Below are 25,090 nucleotides of genomic sequence, written 5' to 3' on the forward strand. Positions count from 1 at the left end.
CCGCCTTCTGCTCCACACTCCCCCCTGCCAGCCGCCAGCTCCTGCGGCAGATGCAGAGGTGCCCACATGTCAGCTAGAGCCAGCGCCTTGCAAGCTACTCTCCCTTTCTCTTCATTTTTCCAGATGTTTGGAATCCATTTTGTTTTGCAGTCATGCTGCACTCAGGCCAAACCCATTTCAATATTGGCCTTGGGCCACCGTTTGTAATGAAATCCAGATGAGCATGACTTATGGAAAGTCAGATTCTCATTAGAGGATTTCATCCTGTAAAATCCTCCTCTTCCACTTACCGTATTTTAGCTGCTGTTCTTCTGTGTCTGCCCCAGGGTGTCAGGGAACACAGCCCCTTGGTTTCTTGGGTGTCTCTGAAATCCAGGAGTGACCAGTGGAGCAATCAAAGTGGTCAGACCTCAAAAGAACTTACAACTATGTTATGGCCTGAAGAGATCAGCCCAGGCCCAAAGGTCTAGCCAGAGAAATGTTTTAAGCAATCTTTTAGCCCTGGCTTAGCTCATTTAGGGAACAGGAGTGAAAGGTTAGAAAATTAATCTTTTTTTAGTGAAGAAGGGAAATATTTAAAGATGGACTGCAGTGGAAAAGAGTAAGGGGATGTCCATTTGCTCTTCTTATACCAGACTGTAGTCTGGAGGGCCACACTCAGGTACCCTCGCTCGTGCAGACACCCCAGGGTCTGTCTGCAGGCCCATTTCTCAACCTCCCTGCTACACAAGCAAAGTAGAGGCCAAGCAAGGAGGGTGGTGCCTTCAAGACAGCAACACTGTTCCTGGTGTGGCATTGCAGCTCTCCCGCTCCAAGTGCTAGGAAGAGGCTCTTTGGTGGCAGAGCCTTTCCCTGGGGACACTATCACCACGCGGGATGTCCTGCCAGCACACCCAGTCCTCTGTGGCCCACCGCGTCACCGCTGCCTGGCAGCACTGCACAGCAGCCTGACGGGCGGGCGCGGCCCCTTCCCAGAACAGCCTTGTCGTCCTCCTGCCTCTTGGGCCAAGGAGAGTAAGGTTTCAGCTCTTCTCTCTGTGAGGTGGCTGAAAGCAGGGCCCAGGGCCCACACCTCTCACCTCCAGCTGGCACCAGCGACTCCAGCCTCAGCAGATAGCCTTTGCTCAGTGGAGGCCTTTGGGAGCCTGCCTGCAAGCTGCGTCATCAACCAGCCTGAATTTAGACAAAGTGCTTTGGGGAAAAGAAACGTGTGGTGTGCCTTGTTTTTTTCCAGTAATTGTTCCATGGCTCGTTCTGCTTGTAAGATTTTCCAAAATAAGGCCGTAGATGAGAATTATATCAGCACATTGGGAACCGAAGGCATGCGGACACTGTTGGCGCTTTGTAAAAAACACCCCTCAATCAGACAGACACACGTCATCGTCGCCTGCTGGGGCTGGGCCCAGATTTCGAGATAGGGGAGCGGCACGTGCCCGTTTGGTACAGATGGGAGCCAGGAAGCCCTTTGCTCAGGATGGAGGTCTCCTCTATTAGGGGGCCTGTTACAGTAACTGGTGGGCCTCTGGGGTACCCTGCAATTGACTTTACATATTTAACTCTTTGCCATTGACTTTACATGTTTAACTCTTTAAAGTCGACTTCCTTCCCCCTCAAGAGAACTTAATTTACTCAAAGTCCTCCCTGGGTAGAGGAGTTTGGCCGGGTAGTTTCAGCAAGTTACTGGTACCGCTTCTAGGACAGCGTCTAACAGCATCTTTGGGAAGATGACTGTCACCAAAGCAGAAAAAGCTTTCTGACTTGTGTAACCCCCTGGAGATTTTTTAAGTCCCCCACCCCACCCCTTTCCCTATTTCTTACAGGAGACAGACTGTGACCAGTACCCCCTGCTGGATTGAGCTGCACCTGAATGGGCCTTTGCAGTGGCTTGACAAGGTCCTCACCCAGATGGGCTCCCCAAGCATCCGCTGTTCCAGTGTGTCTTAGAGACATCAAGTATGGTAGGGGAGGGCAGGCTTGGGGAAAATGGCCATGCAGGAGGTGGAGAAAATTGGAACTCTACTCAACCCATTGTTGTCAAGGAAGAAGAAATCTTTCTCCCTCAACTGAAGGGGTGCACCCACCTGTTTTCTGAAACACACGAGCAAACCCAGAGGTGGATGTTATGAACAGCTGTGTCTGCCAAACACATTTACCCTTTGGCCCCACTTTGAAGGGCAAGAAATGGCGTCTGCTCTGGTGGCTTAAGTGAGCAGAACAGGTAGTATTACACCACCGGCCCCCTCCCCCCAGACTCTTTTTTTGAGTGACAGCTTTCTGGGATGTCACAGTCCAACCAGAAACACCCCTCTGTCTAGGACTGCAGTGTGGAGTTCACCTTGGAAGGGCGTTCTAGGTAGGAAGAGCCCGCAGGGCCATGCAGACCTCATGCCCAGCTCTCTGACGCTTGTGACAGTGCCTCTTCCAGTGAACATTCCCAGCCCAGCCCCGCCCCGCCCCGCCCCACCACTCCAGCAGACCTTGCCCCTTGTGAGCTGGATAGACTTGGGATGGGGAGGGAGGGAGTTTTGTCTGTCTCCCTCCCCTCTCAGAACATACTGATTGGGAGGTGCGTGTTCAGCAGAACCTGCACACAGGACAGCGGGAAAAATCGATGAGCGCCACCTCTTTAAAAACTCACTTACGTTTGTCCTTTTTCACTTTGAAAAGTTGGAAGGATCTGCTGAGGCCCAGTGCATATGCAATGTATAGTGTCTATTATCACATTAATCTCAAAGAGATTCGAATGACGGTAAGTGTTCTCATGAAGCAGGAGGCCCTTGTCGTGGGATGGCATTTGGTCTCAGGCAGCACCACACTGGGTGCGTCTCCAGTCATCTGTAAGAGCTTGCTCCAGATTCTGATGCATACGGCTATATTGGTTTATGTAGTCAGTTGCATTCATTAAATCAACTTTATCATATGCTCTTTTAAATGTTTGGTTTATATATTTTCTTTAAAAATCCTGGGCTGGCACATTGACTGGGAAACCTGAGTGAGACCCAGCAACTGCTTCTCTCCCTTCTCTCTCCTGAGGTGAAGCTTTTCCAGGTTTTGTTGAAGAGATACCTGCCAGCACTTCTGCAAGCTGAAATTTACAGAAGCAAATTCACCAGAAGGGAAACATCTCAGGCCAACATAGGCAAATGAAAAGGGCTATTAAAATATTTTTACACCTTTGAAAATTGCAGGCTTGGTACAAAGAGGTCTGTCATCTTCCCCCTGGGATATAAGATGATCTAGCTCCCGGTAGAGGATCACCGGTGACAACTATAGCAGTTGTATTGTGTAACAAGTACTGCTCCCAGCAGCAATTAGGGAGAAAACTAGTCTAAATTATTTCAACTGGAAAAAAGAAAAAAGAGTCCTCTTCTTTTCCCAGCCTTTTGCAGAACACAGTAGACAGAACTGCCACCTTCAATTGGTACTTTATTCTTTGCTGCTGTTTTTGTATAAAATGACCTATCCCACGTTTTTGCATGAATTTATAGCAGGAAAAATCAAGGGATTTCCTATGGAAGTCCTGCTTTATTCCAGGTGAAGGGAAGGAAGTGTATATACTTTTGGCAAGTCATACAGCTCAAATGTGATGAGATTTCTGATGTTAGAGGGAGATGGAGAGGCTTCCTGATGCCTCATCTGCAGGGTCCTGTGCCTCTGAAGTTCTAGCCATGAGGTTTCCAGGTAGGACAGCTGCTCCCCAAGCCTCCTGAGGACACAGGAAGAGACGGAAGGAGCACCTTGACAGACTTGTGTGAGTCTTCTCGAAGGAGGGTTGACTCAGAACCCAGAGACAATACAAAACCCCTCACTTCCTCTGAGAGGGCCAAATGCTGTGAGTCTGAAGTATGTGCCTGGTGTGAAATGATCTATGGCCTGTTTCTTACACAGGAAGCCCCCTGAACCTCCTGTACATGTGTTCATGTTCCCAGCCAGCTCTGAGACCCAGGAACCAAATATTCCATTTTGGCTTCTGCTAGAGCAGTCATGGTTCCTCTCCTAAAAGCCATGGGCAGCAGTTTCCGAGGGCCTGCATGATCCACCTGCTGCACGATCCTATGAGGGCTTCCTGTGGCACACAGCCCTCTGGGTGCTTGGGAACTAGCTTCAGGCACAGCCTGATTCTGGTGATCCAGTGATCTATGGAAGTCGTGTCTTACTCCAGGTGAAGGGGGAAAAAAAAAGCCTATACTTTGGCAGGTTATGAACTTTGAATGTGATGAAATGACACGTTTGGCTGCATTTGGATGGTGTCTTAGAACCCTCATTGCTCAGACCTGAAGGCTACTTCTAGGAGCATGAAGTTTGAGTTTTGTGTTTTTCCAAAGGATACTTCCTTGGCCCTTTTTCTTTATTGACTAGACCACCAGAGGAGGATGTGTGGGATTGTAGGCAAACCCACCTGTGGCATCACTGAAAATAAATTTGATCATACCTAAGAGGTTAGGAAATGGTGCCATTCCCACCTTAGAGTGCTACATAGGTGCTTTGGGCGTATGTAACATTAGTGTCCTTCCTTGAAGCCACAAGCTAGTTTTCTTAGTTTTAAAATCCTGTTGTATGAATGGCATTTGTATATTAAAACACTTTTTTAAAGGACAGTTGAAAAGGGCAAGAGGAAACCAGGGCAGTTCTAGAGGAGTGCTGGTGACTGGATAGCAGTTTTAAGTGGCGTTCACCTAGTCAACACGACCGCGTGTGTTGCCCCTGCCCTGGGCTCCCCGCCATGACATCTTCACCTTGCAGCTTGTGCTGAGACTGACCCAAGTGCAGCTAGCACTGGGACACAGATCCTTGTCTTCAGCACCTTCCAAGGAGCCAACTTTTATTCCCTTTCCTCTCTCCCCTCCCCACCTCGCTTCTTCCCAATTTAGTAACTTAGATGCTTCCAGCACATACGTAGGTAGCTACCCCAGCCGGTTTGGATTACAGGCCTGTGCTGGAACATCATCTCAGTTGGCCACCTTCCTGGCAGGCTGTAGACCTGACATTTTGAGACAAGCCTAGAGGAGTCAGGAGCAGGGACTTTGACTCTTAGGAAGAGCACACATGAGGGCAAGGCTGCTGGCAGACGTCTCCATTGTCCTTATGTTGTCTGTGTTGTATTTTTTTTTTTTTATTGACCATGGTGATTATTTTTTTAAACCATCGTTAATATACTGAAGTGAGCTATAGCACATATCATGTGCTTAGTTTGTTTATTTTTCTCCATCTCCCCTTGGCTTCCTAGAGTTTGGACATATTCCAGGCTAAATGCTTTTACTCAAGACTACAGAAAGGTTTGAAGTAGTGTGTGCATGGCATGCACGTATGTAAGTAATCTGGGGAAGAAGCAAAGATCTGTTTCATTCTTAGCCTCAGGCCTCATGAGGGTCTCCACAGGGCCGGAGCTCAGGTTACACCACTCCTTCGTCCTTACAGGAGATGTAGGGAGAAGAATCTGCAGGCTGCTTGTAGGACTGTTCACCAAGGGGGATACCAGCAGCAAGAGAGTGCACCCGTTTAGCCCTGGACCCTGTTTCTTACTGTGTGACTTGGCTAGAGTTGGGAGTTCCCCCAAAATAAACGTGTCCCCATTTTACCAGAACCAAACCTCAACACAGCGAAGCTGTACTGTCTTTGTGTGGCAAAGATGTTCCCTTGTAGGCCCCTTTCAGGTAACCGTCTTCACAATGTATTTTCATCACAGTTTAAGGAGCATCAGCCGCTTCTCAAGTGGGTAGGGAAAGCAGAAAAACGTACGCAAGAGGACATGGATCCAAAATGATGATGAAGCATCTCCCATGGGGAGGTGATGGTGGGGAGATGATGGGCTAAACAGGCAACTTTTCAAAAACACAGCTATCATAGAAAAGAAACTTGCCTCATGTAAACTGGATTGAGAAATTCTCAGTGATTCTGCAATGGATTTTTTTTTAATGCAGAAGTAATGTATACTCTAGTATTCTGGTGTTTTTATATTTATGTAATAATTTCTTAAAACCATTCAGACAGATAACTATTTAATTTTTTTTAAGAAAGTTGGAAAGGTCTCTCCTCCCAAGGACAGTGGCTGGAAGAGTTGGGGCACAGCCAGTTCTGAATGTTGGTGGAGGGTGTAGTGGCTTTTTGGCTCAGCATCCAGAAACACCAAACCAGGCTGGCTAAACAAGTGGCCGCGTGTAAAAACAGACAGCTCTGAGTCAAATCTGGGCCCTTCCACAAGGGTCCTCTGAACCAAGCCCCACTCCCTTGCTAGGGGTGAAAGCATTACAGAGAGATGGAGCCATCTATCCAAGAAGCCTTCACTCACCTTCACTGCTGCTGTTGCAACTCGGCTGTTCTGGACTCTGATGTGTGTGGAGGGATGGGGAATAGAACATTGACTGTGTTGATTACCTTCACTATTCGGCCAGCCTGACCTTTTAATAACTTTGTAAAAAGCATGTATGTATTTATAGTGTTTTAGATTTTTCTAACTTTTATATCTTAAAAGCAGAGCACCTGTTTAAGCATTGTACCCCTATTGTTAAAGATTTGTGTCCTCTCATTCCCTCTCTTCCTCTTGTAAGTGCCCTTCTAATAAACTTTTCATGGAAAAGCTCCTGTGCCAGGAGCTCAGTCTGATTCTTGCTGCTGTCTCTGGGTGGAGAGAAGATTTAAAAGGGAGCCGAGGCGGGGGTCCCAGGGACTTCAGGGCTCAGGAGGACCAGAGGAAAATGTCTGTAAGCCCAGATATACCTTGACCAATGATGTACCAGGCCACATTCTGCTGTGGTCCTCATGTAATACCCAGCTGCCCTCATTCACTCACCAAGGGCAACATGCAGTGCCAGCAGAAGCCCCTGGGCCATCTGCACAAAGGTCAAAAGTTTCTCAATGGGTGTATCTCGCTATTCCGCAAACCTAAACACCATGTGTCCCACTGATGCTATCTCTGCAGTGCCATTTTATATTTTACTTCCTCTGTACCCCGAGGCCTTTGGCAAATGAATGACACCAACCCAACCTCAAGCCCTGCCACCTCTTGCCTCTGCTAGTCCCTCCTAGCCTGATTCCTCCATATTGTCAGGGTGTCTTAAATGCCACCAGATTTGTCTTCCCACAGGCATGGAGGTTCACAAGTAACTAACTTGGTTTCCACATCTGCCAGCTCAGATGACTGTTAGCACCTGTGAAAATTCATTTTGAATTCAAAACACCCAAGGAGAAAGGGACTTCAAAGTTGTTTCCTTGGCTAGATCTTACACTGACCCCAGAAGATGTGGATAAAGAATGGATAAAGAAAAACGCTGATTAAAATGTAAACTGTTGGCCAGGCGTGGTGGCTCAACACCTGTAATTCCAGCACTTTGGGAGGCAGAGACAGGCAGATCACTCGAGGTCAGGAGTTTGAGACCAGCCTAGCCAACATGGCGAAACCCCGTCTCTACCAAAAAATACAAAAATTAGCTGGGTGTGGTGGTGCACGCCTGTAGTCCCAGCTACTTGGGAGGCTGAGATGGGAGAATCGCTTGAACCCAGGAGGTGGAGGTTGCAGTGCTCATACCACTGCACTCCAGCCTGGGCAACAGAGTGAGACACTGTCTGTCTCAAAAAAAAAAAAAAAAAAAAAAAAAAAAAGAAGTAAAATGCCTTTTGGTTTTTAAGAGTCTGAATAAGCAGAGTTCGGGGGAGAAGGATGAAATGGGTTGGAGTAATCATCTGGTGTGACCACATCTGCAGCAGTCCTCCTAAGGACCTCCCCAGCATCATCTAAACACCTCCCTTACCAAGAGGAGGCAGGTTGCACCGTAAGGGCCTATAGATTTGGCCTCTGAGAACTGCAACAAATTCCTGCCTTTATGATGATTTGGTTGGTTCTTCCACCTTCCTACCCCCTTAACAGCTTTCCTCAAGGGTTTATGTAGCTGTTTGGGTCAACAGCTGACCCAAACCCGTCCTTTTAACCCAACCTGTTCCTTGAGATGCACGATTTTAAAATTCCAGCTATTTGTTAGACGTGATCCAAAACACAGCGCCCCCAAACTGAATCATCTTCCCACCTCACTTGAGCCAGCTCCCTTTTATGCTTCCCCAGATTTTATCAGTAGCCTCTTCACTCCCATTTTCCAAGCCCAGAGCAGCTTGACGCATTTCTTTTCCTTGCCCTCCATCACCTCTCTGCTGCTGCCATCTCCCTTTTGGAAAGGTCCTACTCCCTGAACTTCCCGGTTCTCCCTGGCCCTCTCGTACAATCTGCTCTTTTTCTTGGGCCTACACCTCTTCTGCCTGCTTCCTTGTTGGTATTCCCAGACCACTGTTCTGCTGACTCCTCCCTAAGTGATCTCATCTACCCTGATGATTTCAAGCCACATAAACGCTAATGACTCCCAAATCAGTACTTACAGCCCAGACTTTAATCCCGAGCTTCAGACTCATGTCCAGCTGACTGCTGGCTGCTGGCACACGGAGGGGCCACAAGTACCTCAAACTCACAATCAAATAAACAGAATTCATGGTTTCTCTTAAAACCATCCTCTGGCCTTCAGCCCTGTTTTAGACATGACCATTGACCCAACCTACATCCACAGAAGCCACAGCAGTCCACCAGTCCTCTGCTCCCCACCTCCACACAGTCCCGCTTCTCCAATCTCTCTGCTCTAGTCCCACTTGCACCGCCCTAAACTGCAGGTCTTCTAGTGCCTGGACAACTGCACCAGCATCATAACAGGTCTCCTAGCCTCCAGATGGCTTTCCTATAAAGGCACCCTTCATACTGCCCCCAGTAACCAATCTGACCATAGATGCTTCCCCTAGTCCACTGCACACATTCTAAGGTCTTTGCCCTGGAGCATTTGGCCCTCCTTTGCCCTTACCTAGCATTCACTGCTCCCTGCCTTAACCTCTACAATCCGGCAACTTGCAGTCCTCATGGATCATCCTTGTCTTCATGGCTGCTTGTGCTTAGAACATCAACTTCTCCCTGGCCCAGCCCCTGCTCCCCAGCACACCACCAGTTCGCCTGGCTAACTTTTACTAATGCTTTGTGCCTCCATTCAGACATCTCCTCCAGGAAGCCTCTCATAAACATCTATCTCTGTTGCCACAGTCCCCTCTCTAGGCTGTGAGTTCCTTGAGAGCAGAGTTTACATTTTATTCTCTTATCCCTGGCTTCTTTTTGGCCACCACATATTTTTGCCGAGTAAATGAATCAGTGTCCATATCTAGTAAATTCTATCTTAGCAGTATATTTTATATACATTTCCACAGTGCTTACAGCAAGTCCTTATATATGACTGAAGGAATATAGTTCCTGATTACCTGCTATCACAGCTATTCCAAAATTCTAATCTGTGTCTCTGCAGTCCAGGGATAGCAAATATATGGCAAAATTCCCCTCTTCTCTATTTCTATCCATGGCAAAAACCACTCGTCACCGGGTTGGGTCCATCCTCAGCCTCAGACTCTTTCTCAACACAGCTAATTGGTTAGACAGAAAAACTGCTAATACTGCTGCCACGTTTTCCTGGAATGTAATTATGGTTAGATGCCTTTTCTGCTCAAAACCTTTGGCTCCTCACTTACCTCCAGAGTAGGCACAGACTCTACAAGGTCCCCTCCAGCATCACCCCATCCTCATCTGCCACCATTTCTCTATGTGGACTCCTTGCATTTTCCCAGCACATCCCCTCACTCTTCTTTCCGTACCTTTGTTCAAGCCATAACTCCAACAACTTTGCTGCCTCCACTCACCTATCTGTCCCAATCCTTTATCCTTCTAGCTCGACCCAAGCAGCATTATTTCCCCTAAGTCAGCGGTTCTCAAAGTGGGTCCCAGGACCGAACCAGCAGCATCGGTTATCACACAGATGTTAAAGATGCAAATTCTCAGGCCCCACGCCAGGCCTACTGAAGCCGCAACTCTGGAGTGGGGCCCTCCAGGTGACTGTGACATAGCTCACTTCTGAGAACCATTGCTCTAAGATACACTTCCTGTTCTCCCCAACCCACTGTGTTCTCTCCTTCCCACAGCCATTAGGGCTGGTCACAGCACTCTTCACATGCTGTCTTGGCATTGTCTTTTGTGACCTTGTCTGGTTTGCCCCCTGCTCCCACCTGAGTTGGACTCTGAGCTCATGGAAAGGAGAAACTACATCCTGACTCAAGTCTGTGTCCTCTGCCACACCTAGCTCAGATTCTGGCACCAACGACGTTCACAGTCAGTGTTGGCTGGACCCTGGGTTCTTGTTTCTGCTCTCACCAGGGTAGAAGGAACAAATTTAAGGCCGTCTAACTTCACCATTAATGACTTCCTGAGAATTTCCTGGGGAAGCATGATTGTTGCAGGCCATGTCCTTGGAATTCAGATTAAAAGAATCTTTTCTCTCCTAAACTATGCTGTTGTTTCCATAAAGTTCCTACCCTAGGCCTTAGTCCACATTTTTGTGTAATAGCATTAAAGCCACCTGGCTGATAATAGCAAGGGCAGGAGCAATGATTGGACACTTCATTAGAGAGAACCCAAGAGGCTTCCTAGTCAGTAAACTGGGCATAAGCAAGCAGCTTGGGGTGCCTGGTTATGCCTCCCAGATCTGTAGTTGTGCGGAGGAAGTGTTTGGGCATAACAATGGATACACAGAAAGGGGTTTTAAAAGTTTTTTTTTTTCTTTTCACCCCCAGGCCTGTGTTCCAAAGATGCAGTAATAACCATTAGGGCCAGGTTTTGAATCACAATGTTTTCAAAAGGAAACAAAGTAGAACTGTAAATCCCTAAGAGTGGGAATACGCTATTGCTGTTACCTTTTTTGTTAATTCTTCTGCAAACCAGAGGAACAACTTAGGATAGAGCAAGATACTTCCTATGCTAGAACCTAATTCTGAGTAAGGATACCTACATTAAGAGCAAGCTTTGTGATGTTAACAACAGGCATATGTAATGCCAAAGTATGAACTTTACAGGATCTCTAAGACGTTTTCTGTAAGAGCTTACATGCCAAAGATGCCAGGATGGATCACTAAACCCTGAGTGGAATCGAAAATACTAGAATTATGCCGCACAGTCAGCATTCTACTTTCATGAGACATACAAATTATGGGAAAGTTAACGGGGTTGTTTTCAAACTAACCTTGTACTAACATAGTACTGGGTTCAGTACACATGACCAGATTTTTTTACACTTACTCCACCTATAGTCCTCTAATAAGATTTGGTACTTAATGACATAATGCTGTAGCTAAATTGTCTATTGTAAAATTAACAGGGGCAGCAGAGAGTGAAGAGCAAATCTAATGCATTAGAACATTCACTGAAACTCTTGTCTCCATCAATCAGAACGTTCAATGAATCAGAACCCCTAATGAATCAGAACCTCTGACCACACTGGACACGTTTGCTAAATTTAGCTTTGTATCGGCAAACGCTGAAGCTCAGAATAGTTTACAGAGCTCTCATCTTACCCTTAGACAGTGATTCTTCTAAGACTGCTTTTCCATGGCAGGCCAAGGCAAGGCAAGGGGCATTCCACATGCTCTCTCAACGCCCATTGTTAAGAGACTGGCCCAAGGTTAAATGAATCTGACAAGCCATGGCAAAAATGTTGATCCCGACCTCTCCACAGTGGGACCAGGAAATTAGCCATATATCACATTTCACGTGTTAGAAGTAGTTTGCAGGAATGGCCTAACATGCTCTATGGTCCTTGAACCACATCCCATATTACTCAACCATCTAAGTCTAGCTTCCCTGAATCTCTAGCTTCTCTGAATTAGACGTGGCCAAGTTCTATAAATAGAGAGCAAGCAAACTGGTTCTGTCAATCTTCTCATACTCTGGCAAGATGGCATATTTTAAAATTATAAAAATATCTATGTCTTCATCACTCTAAAATTATTACATAACACATGATTTTCTCAGGGGAAAAATGTTTATTCTTGTCTTCCCTTACCTTCCAGCACTTATGTATGGACCTTCAAACTTTGTGATCATATTCATCAAACACAAACCATACTTTACAACCAAAACTAAGGGCCTACTATGTGCCAAACACTATGTGCCAAACACTATGTTATGCAAATCAAGAAATGTTTAAGGAAAAAACAACCAAAAACCAAGTCTCTTATTTTAAATTCCAGCTGGCAATTCTGTAACAACTTGTGGTAGCATGAACATAGGTCACTTTAGATAGACTGCAGCTATTACTGTAGTGTTAGCTCATGATCACTATTCTAACATGGGCTTTTAGTAGATTTCACTAGAGACCTTCATCCCATATGTCCCTAGAAGAGGCCAATATCCCTGCATAGCTGAGGTCTTAAAAACATGACATTACATATGCAGGGTAAATTCTAAAATAGTGAGCTTGACAGACTCTTCCACTATTCACTATATATGTCTAATCCAATGAAGGATATAGGGCTTCCCTCACTCATACCCCCTAATAAAAAACCACAAAATCATAATAATAGACATTAGCACAGTTTATAAATAAATCACATTTTAATCATCTGGCTTTGTTTAATCTACAAAATCAAATTCACAGCTTTTTCTAGTCTGGTCTGTTTTTTCTAACCAGATGGCCTAGTATATTTTCTAAAACCTTCCATCTTTTAAGGAAAACATGTTCCACCTTTTTTTTTTTTTTGCAATCCCAGAGCCAACTTCCCTAATGCAATCACCTCAAAGAAACACTGATGGGCTGGTGGTGAACCACAGACTCAAAGTCTTTCAGAACAGTAAAAGAAAAAAAAAAAAAAAGGAACAAAAGGTCACTAAGCAATGTCCAGTGTTCCCTGGAAAGCCTCTTCCTGAATGCTCCAGTCACTGAGCTGTCCCCTCCCTGTGGTCACTCCTGCTGGCCCCTGTAGCATTCCATTCCTTCTGCCATCTGTTTCAGGTTCTGCAGTGCTTATAAGGTAGTGTCTGGAGGGGTGTGAGCCTTATTTCTTTCTGCTCCTAACCCAACCTGTTTCTTTCATGCTGTGTAAATGGTTCTAGAGCCCACCTAGGCCAGAACCAGTTCTCAGCTGGTGTGCGGGCACCTTCCATCCACTGTACTATGTGCCAGTTCAGAGCCACAGCAGTAATGATCACAGTGAGGGCTAATGATATGCATTACAAAGTCTACAAAAACAAATAAGGATTTTTATTTGCAGTACTTTCCACTCTTCCTTTAAAAACTTGCCATTTGCTTATCAGTTCCTCTGGGGCTGACCCACTCAAACAAGACAAAGGATAAAGAACAAAAGATAGTCCTCCGAGGTTACAGGCTTGGAAGGGCAGAGAGGAGCTACGAACCTTGGAAGAAAAACAAGGTGCTCAGGAATTCATCGCCTAACATTTCACTTCCCCACCCACCCCTTAGTGCTCCCACTTTGGCAGTGATCTCTCTTTGGCTTTAAAGAGAAAGGGGGAAATGTGCCTTGTTTTGCAGGTGTGCAACAACACAGCTCTGGCATCTCAAGCAGCAGGGGAGAACTCTAAGACAGAAGAATTTCTTCATGAAAATCACGGTATGTTATCACATACTGTCTCCATGGCCCATACAAGGACTCCTTAAGGTTCTCTCTAACATACAACATATCCCCCACAACTCAGTAGAGAGGTTTTCTTCCCACTGGAATAGAAATCCTTTGCCTCATTTATTACAGTCTAAAAATCCACACTGGCTTTTTGATTCTTTCTAGCATGAGCTCAGACACTATACTTCAAAAGAATGCCCAGAGGCATTTTCTTAGGTAGAGACTTAGCTGCGGGCTGAGACTTCGGCCCCACATAGCTCACATCAATTCTGCAGCTGCCTCCTTTCCTCCCAATAAAAGCATCATAGCTCAGAGCTACAAGCTCCTTGAATGGAGAAAACCCAAATCACCCAGGAAAGGTGACACAACTCCTGATGTGCAGTATCAAGTGTGAATGCTGGAAATGCTACTTAAAAGGTTGACCAGGAATGGCCTGGAGGTTGTCTTCAACTTGAGTAAATCACACAGACCTCTGAGATTTATCCTACCCTCATTCCTAGAACAAAAAAAAAGTATATTTAAGAAATCCTCACTCATTACTATCACTGTATTCCTCACTCTCTTACAATATACTGAGGAAAAAAAAGATTTCTCCTTAACCTCCTACTAAAAACTAAAATTAAGGGGACCCTATAAACAAGTCAGGCAGCCAACATGATAAGGGCAATTTTGGCAAAATATGACTGGGCTGAGTAGAGAGGTATCTCAGAGACAGCTAGCATCTTTGTTGGTCAAACCCTAGTATGAATAATTCAGTGCTCTTCATCAGATGAAAGGCCTTCAATTTCATCTCTGTCTCCCCCGATTGCCATCCAGAATGCTTTGGCCACCTGTGGAGAGAAGCATGCAACAAATTTTAGGCAACAGCTACATTTCAGCTTGTTTCATATGTCATACCTTAAACTGACTGAGACCTAAAATTCTGCACTTTGCCCTCCAGTCCTCTGGCAACACATATCAGAACCCTTGAATACCATTTGACCCATGATCGCCACATCTAGAAATTTATACCAAGGATATATTTAGAGTTGTATACAAAGATGATGTGTAAAGACATGCACAGCTTTGTTATTTATAGAAGCAAAAAATGCACATGACCTAAATGTCCAAAAGGGAACAGGATAAATTATGACACATATCAGGGAACACCATCAACCATACAAGTTTCCTGCCAATAGCATGTGTTGTGTTGGTAATAATAAAACAAAACAACTAAGAGTTTTCTGGCCCAATAGTTAGAAAGGCAAACATCCTGAGTCTCAATAAAGGTTCCACATCACTCACCATCCAGGTGAAAAATCTTGGTTTGACTGCAGCAACTATACTATTACTGTATAAATATTTAATTAGTTAGAAGTTAATATTCAATGAAAAGCTCACACTAAGACCCTTCAGAAATACACAAGTGTGATATATAATTATAATAATAGCACTGGACCTTTTATAGGTATTCAATAAATACCTGGCTGATTGTCTCACCTTTTCTGCATGCACTTTTCTTTGCTCATGAGGAAGCGTCGCAGCCTTGTCTAGGGGGAAAATATATCTTAAGAAATTTGTCTAATAGCACAGGATAACCTGGAGTATATGAATAACACTAGAAGATGGGAGACGGGTTTCAAAGACATGTTTATGATGTAGTCATTACATGTATTAGGAAGTTTTTAAGTCTTCCAAATTTTCCAGATGGGAATGATGTGAGTAAATTGGTAGGGATCTTACAGTTTCCACCTTATGTAACACATTGAAAGAAACAAGGCAAAAGCAGGAAAAGTAAAAAGAAAGAGAACGAAGATGGAAAAATTTTCCCCAGGGAATTTTTTTTTTTTACCAAGTCCCAGGAGTAGCTAAGTTTCTCAAGACAGCTGAGACCAGAACAAGGAATCCAATCCAGCAGTTAACAAAATAAAATGCTACTACGTAAAACAGACAAGCATCAACATGGGAACATATTAGACACAATGGATCTGATTACCTTTCATTTCCTTTAACTTTGAAAAGAGTCTTTCAAAATTCTCCACATCTCCTCCTCCAGTGGTAAGACTGGCTAATTCTTGAATATCCAGATCTAACATGGGATCTGAAATAGGGATTTGTCACATTATCTGTCACGTTATTTGCATATGTGCTACACTCAGAGAATCCTAAGGCAAATGCTAACCTTGATGAAGTCACCAATGATCGAAGGCCCAGTGTATACCAGCTTTACAGCTCATGGCTCACCCTGCTTGGCTGCTAGTGGGCCCTCACAAATGAAGAGTAACTATTTTATCCTCACAACATCGTCATGAGGTAAGGAGTACTATTTCCATTTTAAAGATGAGAAAACCACATCTCAGAGTTGAAGTGACTTGCCGAGGTGACAGCTAGTAAGTTGATTCAGACGCAGGTGTTTCCAACTCGGAAAGCATACTCACTCCACTAAGGTACACTGATTCACCAATAATGACTAAAGTTTATGCCATATTTTACTGTACAACAAATATTTTCACATCTATTACCGACAACCACTATAAAAGGTGATTAGAACAGATAACATTATCTGAGAATAACAGAAATGATATGAAAAAAAAACCTGTATCTAAAAATGAACTCATCTAAAATTACAGCTATTCAGAGGTAGAGCTGATTTAAATTCATATTTTCTTACTACAAATCTTTTACTGTTTCTACCTTGGCACACTGCTTCTTTATTAAAGTTTGTTTTTAATCAGAATTTTAACTCCTTCTCCACTCCAGGCCCACTATGTTTAGAATGTCTTCCCTGCCCATCCCACTTTCACAGGTCTCCTTCCTTAGAATTCTTTCTACACTTATTGTTTCCAGAACTGTCTTAGCACTTGCATATATTACCTTGTATTCTAACATTTCTCCACCACTACTTTAATAAGTACTACTACCATAAGAGAGAATTTGCTTTGGATCTGCACCACTGAATGCTTTAACTTACATGGTTCCACTGCATCTTTGCAACAGCCCTATGAGGAAAGATTTATCACCGTTATTTTACAGAAGAGGAAACTAATGCCAACAGAGGTTAATTTATTCAAGGTAAGGCCATTACTAGCGATAAAGCCATGATTTGAACCCAGCTGTACAGGACTCCAATGACTATGACCTTAACCATTACATTATAGGTCCTATCTCTATATTTTTAGACTAAGCTCCATGAAGATAGGATGATGACTTATAATTATTTGCATCTATCACAATGCCATATAGACAATTTGGTGTTAAAAACGCATCTTGGTTAATATATTTGCTTTCGTTCAATGGACATGTCATGTAGGAAGTTGGTATATAGGGCTGAAGATAAAAGTTTGTGATTTATCTGTGTATACATAGTAATTGAGCTGTTAATGTAGACAGAATCACTCCATGCCTAAATATAGATTTGGAAGAGTTTAAATGCAGCAATGAAGAATGACAATATTTAAAGGCTGGGTAAAGAAGGGTATCTACCAAAGAAAGAGAAGGAATAATCAGAGAAGTAGGAAGAAAACCAGGCGACACCGTGTTGGGTGAGGCATGGGAAGAAAATGTTTCAAAGAGGAATTGATCTGTAACACTGAATGCTGCCACGAGGTCAAGATGAGGACTGGAAAATATCTACCCGATTTAGCGGCATGGAGGTCATTGCTGGCCTTTGCACAGAGCTGTTGTAGTGGCATACCAGGGGCAAAAGACAGACATGAGTGAGGTGAGGAGCAAATGGGAGGTGAGGAATGGAAACAAGTTTAGTAAAGAGATAAGGAGGAAGATGTGGAAATGTTTGGTTTTTGTTGATTTGGTTTTGCCTTAAATCTTTTTCTTAATTTACTCTTAAAAAAAAACTTGCAAAAATAGTACACAGAGTTTCTATATGCTCTTCACCCACTTTCCCCTAGTGTTAACATCGTTTATGACCATGGTACAATTATAAAAATCAAGAAGTTAATATTGGTATAATGCCATTAACCATGCCATAGACTTCATCGGTTTTTCCACTAATATCCTTTTTCTGTTCCAAGATCCTACATGGAATTTAGTTGTCAAATCTCCTTAGTCTTCTCCAATTTGTGACAGTTCCTCAGTCTTTCACGACTTTAACACTTGTATGTCAGTTATTTTGTATAATGTCCCTTAATTGGGTTTGTCAGATTGTTTTCTTATTATTAGATTGCAGTTATGCATTTTTGGTGAGATTACCTTCTCACTGCATCCTATCAGGAGGGCTATTATGTCAATATGTCTTATTACCAGTGATGTTAACCTTCATTACATAATTAAAGTGGCTGGCATCTGATGAGTTTCTCCAGTGTAAAGTTACTATTTTCCCCTTTGTAATAAATAAACATCTTGAGAGAGATACTTTTAGACTATGCAGATATACTACTTCTCCTCAAACTTTCACCTATGCTACCAAGAACTATTACTGTGTTTTGTGCCTAATGATGGCTTTCTATTTTCCTCATTCCTTCTATATTTATTACTTGGGATTCTTCTGGAAGGAGATGCTGTCCTTTCTTTCTCATTTGTTTATTCAATTATTTATTTATATTAGTATGAACTCATGGATACTTAGCTTACTCTATGGGTTATAACCCAATACTATATTAATCTACTTTGCTGGTCAAATTGTTCCAGATTTAGCCACTGGAAGCTCTTTCAGGTTGGTCCCTATGCCCTTTCAACATGTCCCCATTCTTTTTTGAGAATTTTCTTAATTTCTGGTACCAAGAGATGCTCCAGGGTCATCCTGTATTTTTCTTGCCCAAGTCCTGGAATCAACCACTTCTCCAAGGAGCCCTAGTTCCTTTTATTGGAGAATGGTATTTAGAAAGCAAGATCTGGCCAGGCGCAGTGGCTCACGCCTGTAATCCAAGCACTTTGGGAGGTCGAGGCAGGTGGATCACCTGAGGTCGGGAGTTTGAGACCAGCCTGACCAACACGCAGAAACCCCGTCTCTACTAAAAAACAACACAAAACAAAATTAGCTGGGCGTGGTGGCACATGCCTGTAATCCCAGCCACTCAGGAGGCTGAGGCAGGAGAATCGCTTGAACCCAGGAAGCGAGATTGCGGTGAGCCGAGATCGTGCCACTGCACTCCACCCTGGGCAACAAGAGCGAAACTCCATCTCAAACAAAAACAAAAACAAAAACACAACAACACACACACACAAAAAGAAAGCAAGATCTGAGTGCTAAGTGTGTCCACTGCTATGGTGGTATTGTTGCTTCTAGGCCTCTCAGTGGACAGAACTAGGAAATATATGTGTGTATACTAATACACGCATATACACACACATCTGTATTTATTTTCTTAACTGTAAGTATATTTTTAAAGCCATGAGTTCATACTGATACATTAGATTCCAATCCAGTACCAAAGGGTACATCTTGGCCTTCCCTTTTCCTTATTTGTAACCTTTTTCCTCTGGCAGTGAGAAACCTAACTCTCACTATCTATATTTTTTATTTTCTATATGTCAGTATATGTGTGGTGTATAAAATATCTATATATAAAATTTCAGAATTGCTGAGCCATGCTCCTATAAGAAACAAATTTACTAAGTAGAGTTCAGTATCTGTGTTCAGTTATTTTTGTTTTTAGCCTTACGGTATCTAGTCCAATTACTGTTTTCTAAAGTTACTTAGGTTAGTGCTTCAAGTCCCCACCCACTTCAGTGTGATTACTAGTTTGTTTTAATGGCAGAGACTCTGGCAGGTTTAAAAGCCAATGGGAAGGATTCAATTGAGAGGCTAAGGATGAATAAACTGGAAAGAAAAAAAATTATACATAATTTTTTCTTCTTCTTCATATGTTTCTATAACCAATCACTTGAGTTTTCTACATGAATTATCTCATAAGAAAAAAGAGTTTTAAAAATTTATTACTGCACATGAGCCGTCTGTAGCATAAAGATAAAGTAGGAATATCAGTAGTTCCCCAGCGAAAGAAGATTTATAGTTATTGTCAAGTAAGCTCCTTGGTTTTCTGGCTTTTGGACAGCATACTGGATTCCAGCTTCAGCTCCAGGCCCTTCTTGCTAGATGTCCTTGGACAAGTTATTAAACTTCTCTGCAAAACTTCATTACCAAATGAGAAAGGGGATATAAAATAACTTTAAAAGCATATGGAAGGGCTTATAAATATAAAGTTGTATTATTCTTGTCACCATCGATTCTGACTTCTGTTAAATATTATGAAAAAACTACGTGATACAGAGCTAGCTGTTTCGCCACCTGGTTCGGTCTGCCTTGGCTAAGATTATCTGAATCAAGATCCTGCTAGGAGAATTAAAGAGAAAATGGTACCCACATATTTGTTATATATTTATTCTTCTTCCTTTTTCTGATAGCCACTGGCAAGGCTCACATTCATGTGTGGTATACTACCAATTTTTTTCCCTTCTCTGTGTTTAAAGTCAATTTCCCCCTCAACAATTTCTGCCCAGATACCTATTCCAAGTTGCACAAAGCTCTCTCTTGGCAGCCAAAGGAGGAACTTACCCACAATGCTATCAACCTGGGCATCTGTTGTGTTAGATGCACCACCCCGATGATCAGAGAGGGATTCAGTACTATCTGCTGCTGGCAAATGGGGTTGCTGTTGAGGAAAATACACATAAGCAACAATTTAATCGTAGTCTATTTCAGAACTAAATCCAAAAAAGCTCACACTTTCAGTCCTTGGTTGGCTTGAGAAAAGAGTAATAGGAACTGGAGGCAAAGAAAGAAGAGCAAGATCACATTAAAAAAATAAAAGGCTAAAACTTAACTAACCCAGAAGTACTTTCCCCCAAGGAAGAACTAGAAAGCGTTGATTTTGCTTTAGACTACTAAAACATGTTTTTTGTTTGTCTCATTTAAGATCCATGTTATATTCAAAATGTGAAAATGTAACACAATCGTAACACAAATAGCTCAGAGGCTGTTGAAAAAGATCCCTGGAAAGACAATGTGGCACTGTATAATTTGCTCTTGGCTCCAGCTGCTGACCAAGGTAAACCTGGAACAAAGTTCTTAAGGATGCAGGGTTGAAACTGGACTACAAGCTCATTGAGGACAGGGACCTTGCCTCAGATTTGCCAAGGTCTTTTACACAGGAAGTACTAAAAAAGCACCATGAATTTTATTTTCTATTTAAAGATCTGAAGGCAAATTAATGCCTCAGGGAAATCCTAGCATATTTTAGAAAGCACCCTAGTAAAAATAAAACCAAAGCTGTAAACATCTTGAAAGGGCTTACTGCTTTAGCAAGGGCTGTTTTAGACCTTCCTTTCATCTATTTTTAACATTCTCTGTCACCTTTTAAATGGAAAGGAAAACAATGGTGAATGTGTCAAGATTCATAATGACAAGGAGAAATTAAAGCCAAAGAGGGAAAAAAGATCCAAGAAAAACCTTTACCTCTGGGTGACAGGGATCTGCTGACCCAATGCTATGGTTTGTTCCAGTCAATGAGTTGAGAAGGCTAAAGCCTTGGTTCCTATCTGAAAAGGAAAAATACACTTAGTGAAATTTGTCATTTACATTTTAAACTGTTCAAATGGCTATGATGATGAAACAAAGGCTACTTATTTGTTACCAAAGTTCTAACTACATATATATATATTTTTGAGACAGGGTCTCACTCTGTAGCCCAGGCTAGAGTGCAGTGGCACAATCACAGCTCAGTGCAACCTTGAAGTCCTGGGCTCAAGTGATCCTCCTTCCTCAGCCTCCTGAGTAGGTGGGAATACAGGTGCCTGCCACTGTGCCTGGCTATTTTTTTTTAAAATTATTTCTTGTTTTTTGTAGAGACAGGGTCTCACTATGTTGCCCAGGCTGGTCTTGAACTCCTGGCCTCAAGCCATCTCCTGAATCAGCCCCCGAAACTGCCAGGATTACAGGCCTGAGCCACACCCCTGGCCCTGAATACATTTTTTTTAAGTACATTTTTTAAAAAAATCACAGACTATTAGTCCAGGTGGAAAATAATAGCAGGGCCATTATGACAAACAAAAGGCCAGTGGTTCTATTTGCAAAGATTAACAGCACTAATGCTTTCATAGCCACTATGAACTAATATTCCATTGTTTTAAATAATCAAAAACATTTAAAAAATCAACACCAAGGCATTCATATCAGGTGAAGGCACTCAGGTGAAAAGGAATATGAATGCTTTTTGAAAAAAGTTCTAGGGCTGGGAGCGGTGGCTCACGCCTGTAATCCCAGCACTTTGGGAGGCCGAGGCCGGCGGATCACAAGGTCAGGAGTTCAAGACCAGCCTGATCAACATGGTGAAGCCTTGTCTCTACTAAAATTACAAAAAATTAGCCAGGCATGGTGGTGGGCACCTGTAATCTCAGCTACTCGGGAGGCTGAGGCAGGAGAATCGCTTGAACCCAGGAGGCAGAGGTTGCAGTGATCTGAGATCGCACCACTGCACTCCAGGCTAGGCAACAGTGTGAGGCTCCGTCTCAAAAAAAAAAAAAAGAAAAGAAAAAAACTCTAATTCAGATATGAATGAAGCATCTACAGTTAAGACTCCCAGTATGCTGTTTGTATTTACAACGGAGGACAAATCTGGAGCAAAACATCTAGCACTGTTCAAAGTATAAGGGCCAGCCTTGATCCAGCAGTGTTCCCCAGAATGACCTGGAACACTTTATTAAAACTATCCTAGTATTCAAGGACGCTATCTGAGATTCACTGAGTCAGCATCTTTAGGACAGAGATCATGGAATCTCAACTTTTAGCAAGTGCTCCAGGAGGGTCTTATGAACACAGTAGTTCGAAAAACACTGCCTTAGAGTAGAACATGAGACTGTAACCCAAGAGTAACAGTACAGAAGTCAAAGACTTTCTCTCTCAAAAAGACAACTTTCTCCCACCTTGCCTTTCCTCTCTATCTCTTCCCTGACCTACTCGCATCTCTCTTTCTCTAAACTACCTATAAATTCCCTATACCCTTTCCCCTGCCAGATACCTGGTCATACAGAGATATCAAAAGAGAGAAACTTCGCAGTGTCCTTCCTTCTTCCTTTCACTTGGGAAGATCTGCCTTTTAAACTGGGATGAAGCCTCAAATGTGGCCTGCTAGGCTGTAGCCTGCAGATTTCTGGAGCCTGACTCTCGCCACGGAGGCAGTCATATGTAGCTATCAACCCAGTACCTCTGCATTAAAGGCTACCTTGGTCTGGGCAAAACTAAGAGGCTGCTGCTGCCCTACTGCTTTTCATTCTGTACAACCTCAACAGTGGCAGCATGGTCAGAGGTTCATGTGTACTCCTGGAGCCCCCCTTATCTCCTCATCCAAAGGCCTAGGTGCCCAATCCAAAGACAGGGGACCAAAGTTTCAGCAGGGTAGGACATGGAGGCTCAGAGGCCCGAGAGAAGCAGATCCATGCAGTGTCCTACGATGACAGTTTCAGAGGCTAAGTATGTTTATTCAAACATCAGCATGGTTCTTTCTTTTGGCCAATGTGTTATTGATTTTAAAGTAGCTGTATGTAGTTATGTAATACTCAGACACGGATTTTACCTGTCATTAAGATACATGAGTGCTCTTATAATATACTTTAAGCTATTTGTACAAAAGGCAATATCTGAGTAATAAACTACTTCTGCAAGAGAGCCCTCACTTCTATTACTGGAAATAACTTGGACCTTGGGTAATTTTCAAATTCAGTTCATAAATCTCTCCATATTCTAATTCCACAGCTTATATTTTTCCTCTGTTAGGCGTCCCCTAAACTTGGCAGGCCAGAGTGCAACTCAAAGAATAATGCAATACAATGTCAGTTTATGCATGTTATGAAACCAAAGCAGTCTATTTGAAATGCCTAATTCTTTTTTTTTTTTGAGACAGAGTCTCACTCTTTCGCCCAGGCTGGAGTGCAGTGGTGCGATCTCGGCTCACTGCAAGCTCCGCCTCCTGGGTTCACACCATTCTCCTGCCTCAGCCTCCCGAGTAGCCGGGACTACAGGCGCCCGCCACCACGCCCGACTAATTTTTTTTGTATTTTTATTGGAGACGGGGTTTCACCGTGTTAGCCAGGATGGTCTCGATCTCCTGACCTCGTGATGCGCCCGCCTTGGCCTTCCAAAGTGCTGGGATTATAGGCGTGAGCTACGGCACCCGGCCGAAATGCTTAATTCTTTACAGTGGCTGCCTGCAAAGAGAACTGGGAGGGACGGGAGTTAGGAGTAGGAGCTAGACTCATCACTGTATACTGTAAACCTTTAATTTTTGTTACATGTTCATGTATTATTTACCTATTCGAAGAGATTTTTTGAAATTTAATAATTTTATGCTGTGTATCGCAATTAAAACTTTGAAAAAAAAATTAATGCCCCAATTAGAATGGATAAAATTATGAAAAAGTCAAAATAGTAGGAAGAAAACTGAACTAGTGGTCAGAAAACTTGTCTTTCATTCCTGGCTCTGCCTACCTGTATGACCTTAGACAAATTAATCAGGTTCACAATTGACTAAGAGTTTACAATCAGGTTTCAGGCTAATTATAATAAGCCAGAAGGACTTTTGCTCATATTATAAACAATGAAGAATTTAGTCAACTAACAAGAGAGTTCATTATGTTCCGCTGCTTATATTTTAAGGAACTTAGAAACATACAAATTGACACAACGAGAAAAACAATTCATTTTTGTTTACCCAAAGTAGACTGCTCGCATATTAACATTGCTCAAAAAACTTAGATGATATTTTATATACCTATGGCTTTTAAAAAAATTCTGTTCTGCCTGGTTCAATGTTTATTAAAATTCCATCCACATGCACTCACTGTACAACTATTCTTCTCATAGAAAAGAATTACATAAATCTTTTCGTGCTTGCTAGATTTTTCTCCCCAGGATTCAGGGCATGGAAATGTCATCCCTATTAAGAAGGATTTATGCCTTTAGCAGGTAGTTGCTGAAACTGGCTCTAGCATCTATGGTTTTATTGATGCCACAAAACTCTAGACTAGGAAAGAATAAATAAAATTCACCTCCTCAGCTGATTCTTATGGAACTTCAGGGATGCAGAAAGGGGCAGCTGTTAAGTGATGTAAAATAAATTATTCTGGAAGGCACAATTAGTATGTTAAACTGTGGTCCTAAAAACATCTGATTCAGTTTTAGTACTCTAGTAAGTTGACACCAGTGGATGCATGGATAAAAATGAAAATATCATGAAAAAATCTGGCGGTGCTGGTCATTAGCATAGATTCTTCCAGAAAGTGTCAGAAACAAAACTATAGCCTCTAGAATAAAGATTTTAAATTGGAAATTCTTAAGCCTTGGGATGATTTTTTTTAACAATAAGAAGTTAAAAAAACTTGAAATATATGAAATTATTTGCCACCTCTTTACAAATCTGAGGGCACACTTAACTTTAGAAGCATAAAATGCATCTCTCATAGCAATTTTGACTTACATGAAACATTTAGAGAATTCAAAACCTAGGCAAAGAGGGAAATTTCAGTATGGGGGAAGGGGAAAAGTTGCTTTTTAAAAAGTATTTTTTTCCTTTTTTCTGATTTTTTCCCTTCTCCATTATTTACCAGGCAATATGACAAGCATATGAATTTGGAAATAAGGCATGGATATGAATCCTACTTCTACTATTTACTGTGTGGTTTT

At 42.8% G+C, this 25,090-nt stretch overlaps 2 protein-coding genes across 17 annotated transcripts in view, besides 1 other annotated feature; one reads left to right on the forward strand and one right to left on the reverse strand.

Moving 5' to 3' along the window:
- Positions 1-6,577, forward strand: part of SMAD3 (SMAD family member 3) — a 129,568-nt gene extending 122,991 nt beyond the window's left edge. For all 11 annotated transcript variants that reach the window (NM_001407011.1, NM_005902.4, NM_001407013.1 and 8 more), the window contains one exon: positions 1,821-6,577. In NM_001407011.1, the coding sequence (NP_001393940.1) occupies positions 1,821-1,944 (124 nt within the window). In that variant the 3' untranslated portion in view covers positions 1,945-6,577. The remainder of the gene's footprint in view (positions 1-1,820) is intronic.
- Positions 10,094-10,223: an enhancer, noted in NCBI's record as "active region_9626". NCBI's record gives its function as "activates an Ori minimal core promoter by ATAC-STARR-seq in GM12878 lymphoblastoid cells {active_cell/tissue: GM12878}" and the evidence as "EXISTENCE:reporter gene assay evidence [ECO:0000049][PMID:35858748]".
- Positions 12,075-25,090, reverse strand: part of AAGAB (alpha and gamma adaptin binding protein) — a 54,532-nt gene continuing 41,516 nt past the window's right edge. For 3 of the 6 annotated variants that reach the window (NM_001271885.2, NM_024666.5, NM_001271886.2), the window contains exons 6-10: positions 20,870-20,952; positions 19,970-20,066; positions 15,452-15,556; positions 14,956-15,005; positions 12,075-14,306 (exon numbers count right to left, since the gene is read on the reverse strand). In NM_001271885.2, the coding sequence (NP_001258814.1) occupies positions 14,229-14,306; positions 14,956-15,005; positions 15,452-15,556; positions 19,970-20,066; positions 20,870-20,952 (413 nt within the window). In that variant the 3' untranslated portion in view covers positions 12,075-14,228. Of the gene's footprint in view, positions 14,307-14,955; positions 15,006-15,451; positions 15,557-19,969; positions 20,067-20,869; positions 20,953-25,090 lie in introns of those variants that run through there. The other 3 variants (XR_007064489.1, XM_024450053.2, XM_024450052.2) reach the window with 3 other exon arrangements.

This window comes from Homo sapiens, chromosome 15, assembly GCF_000001405.40.
Source record: "Homo sapiens chromosome 15, GRCh38.p14 Primary Assembly".
Taxonomy (NCBI): domain Eukaryota; kingdom Metazoa; phylum Chordata; class Mammalia; order Primates; family Hominidae; genus Homo; species Homo sapiens.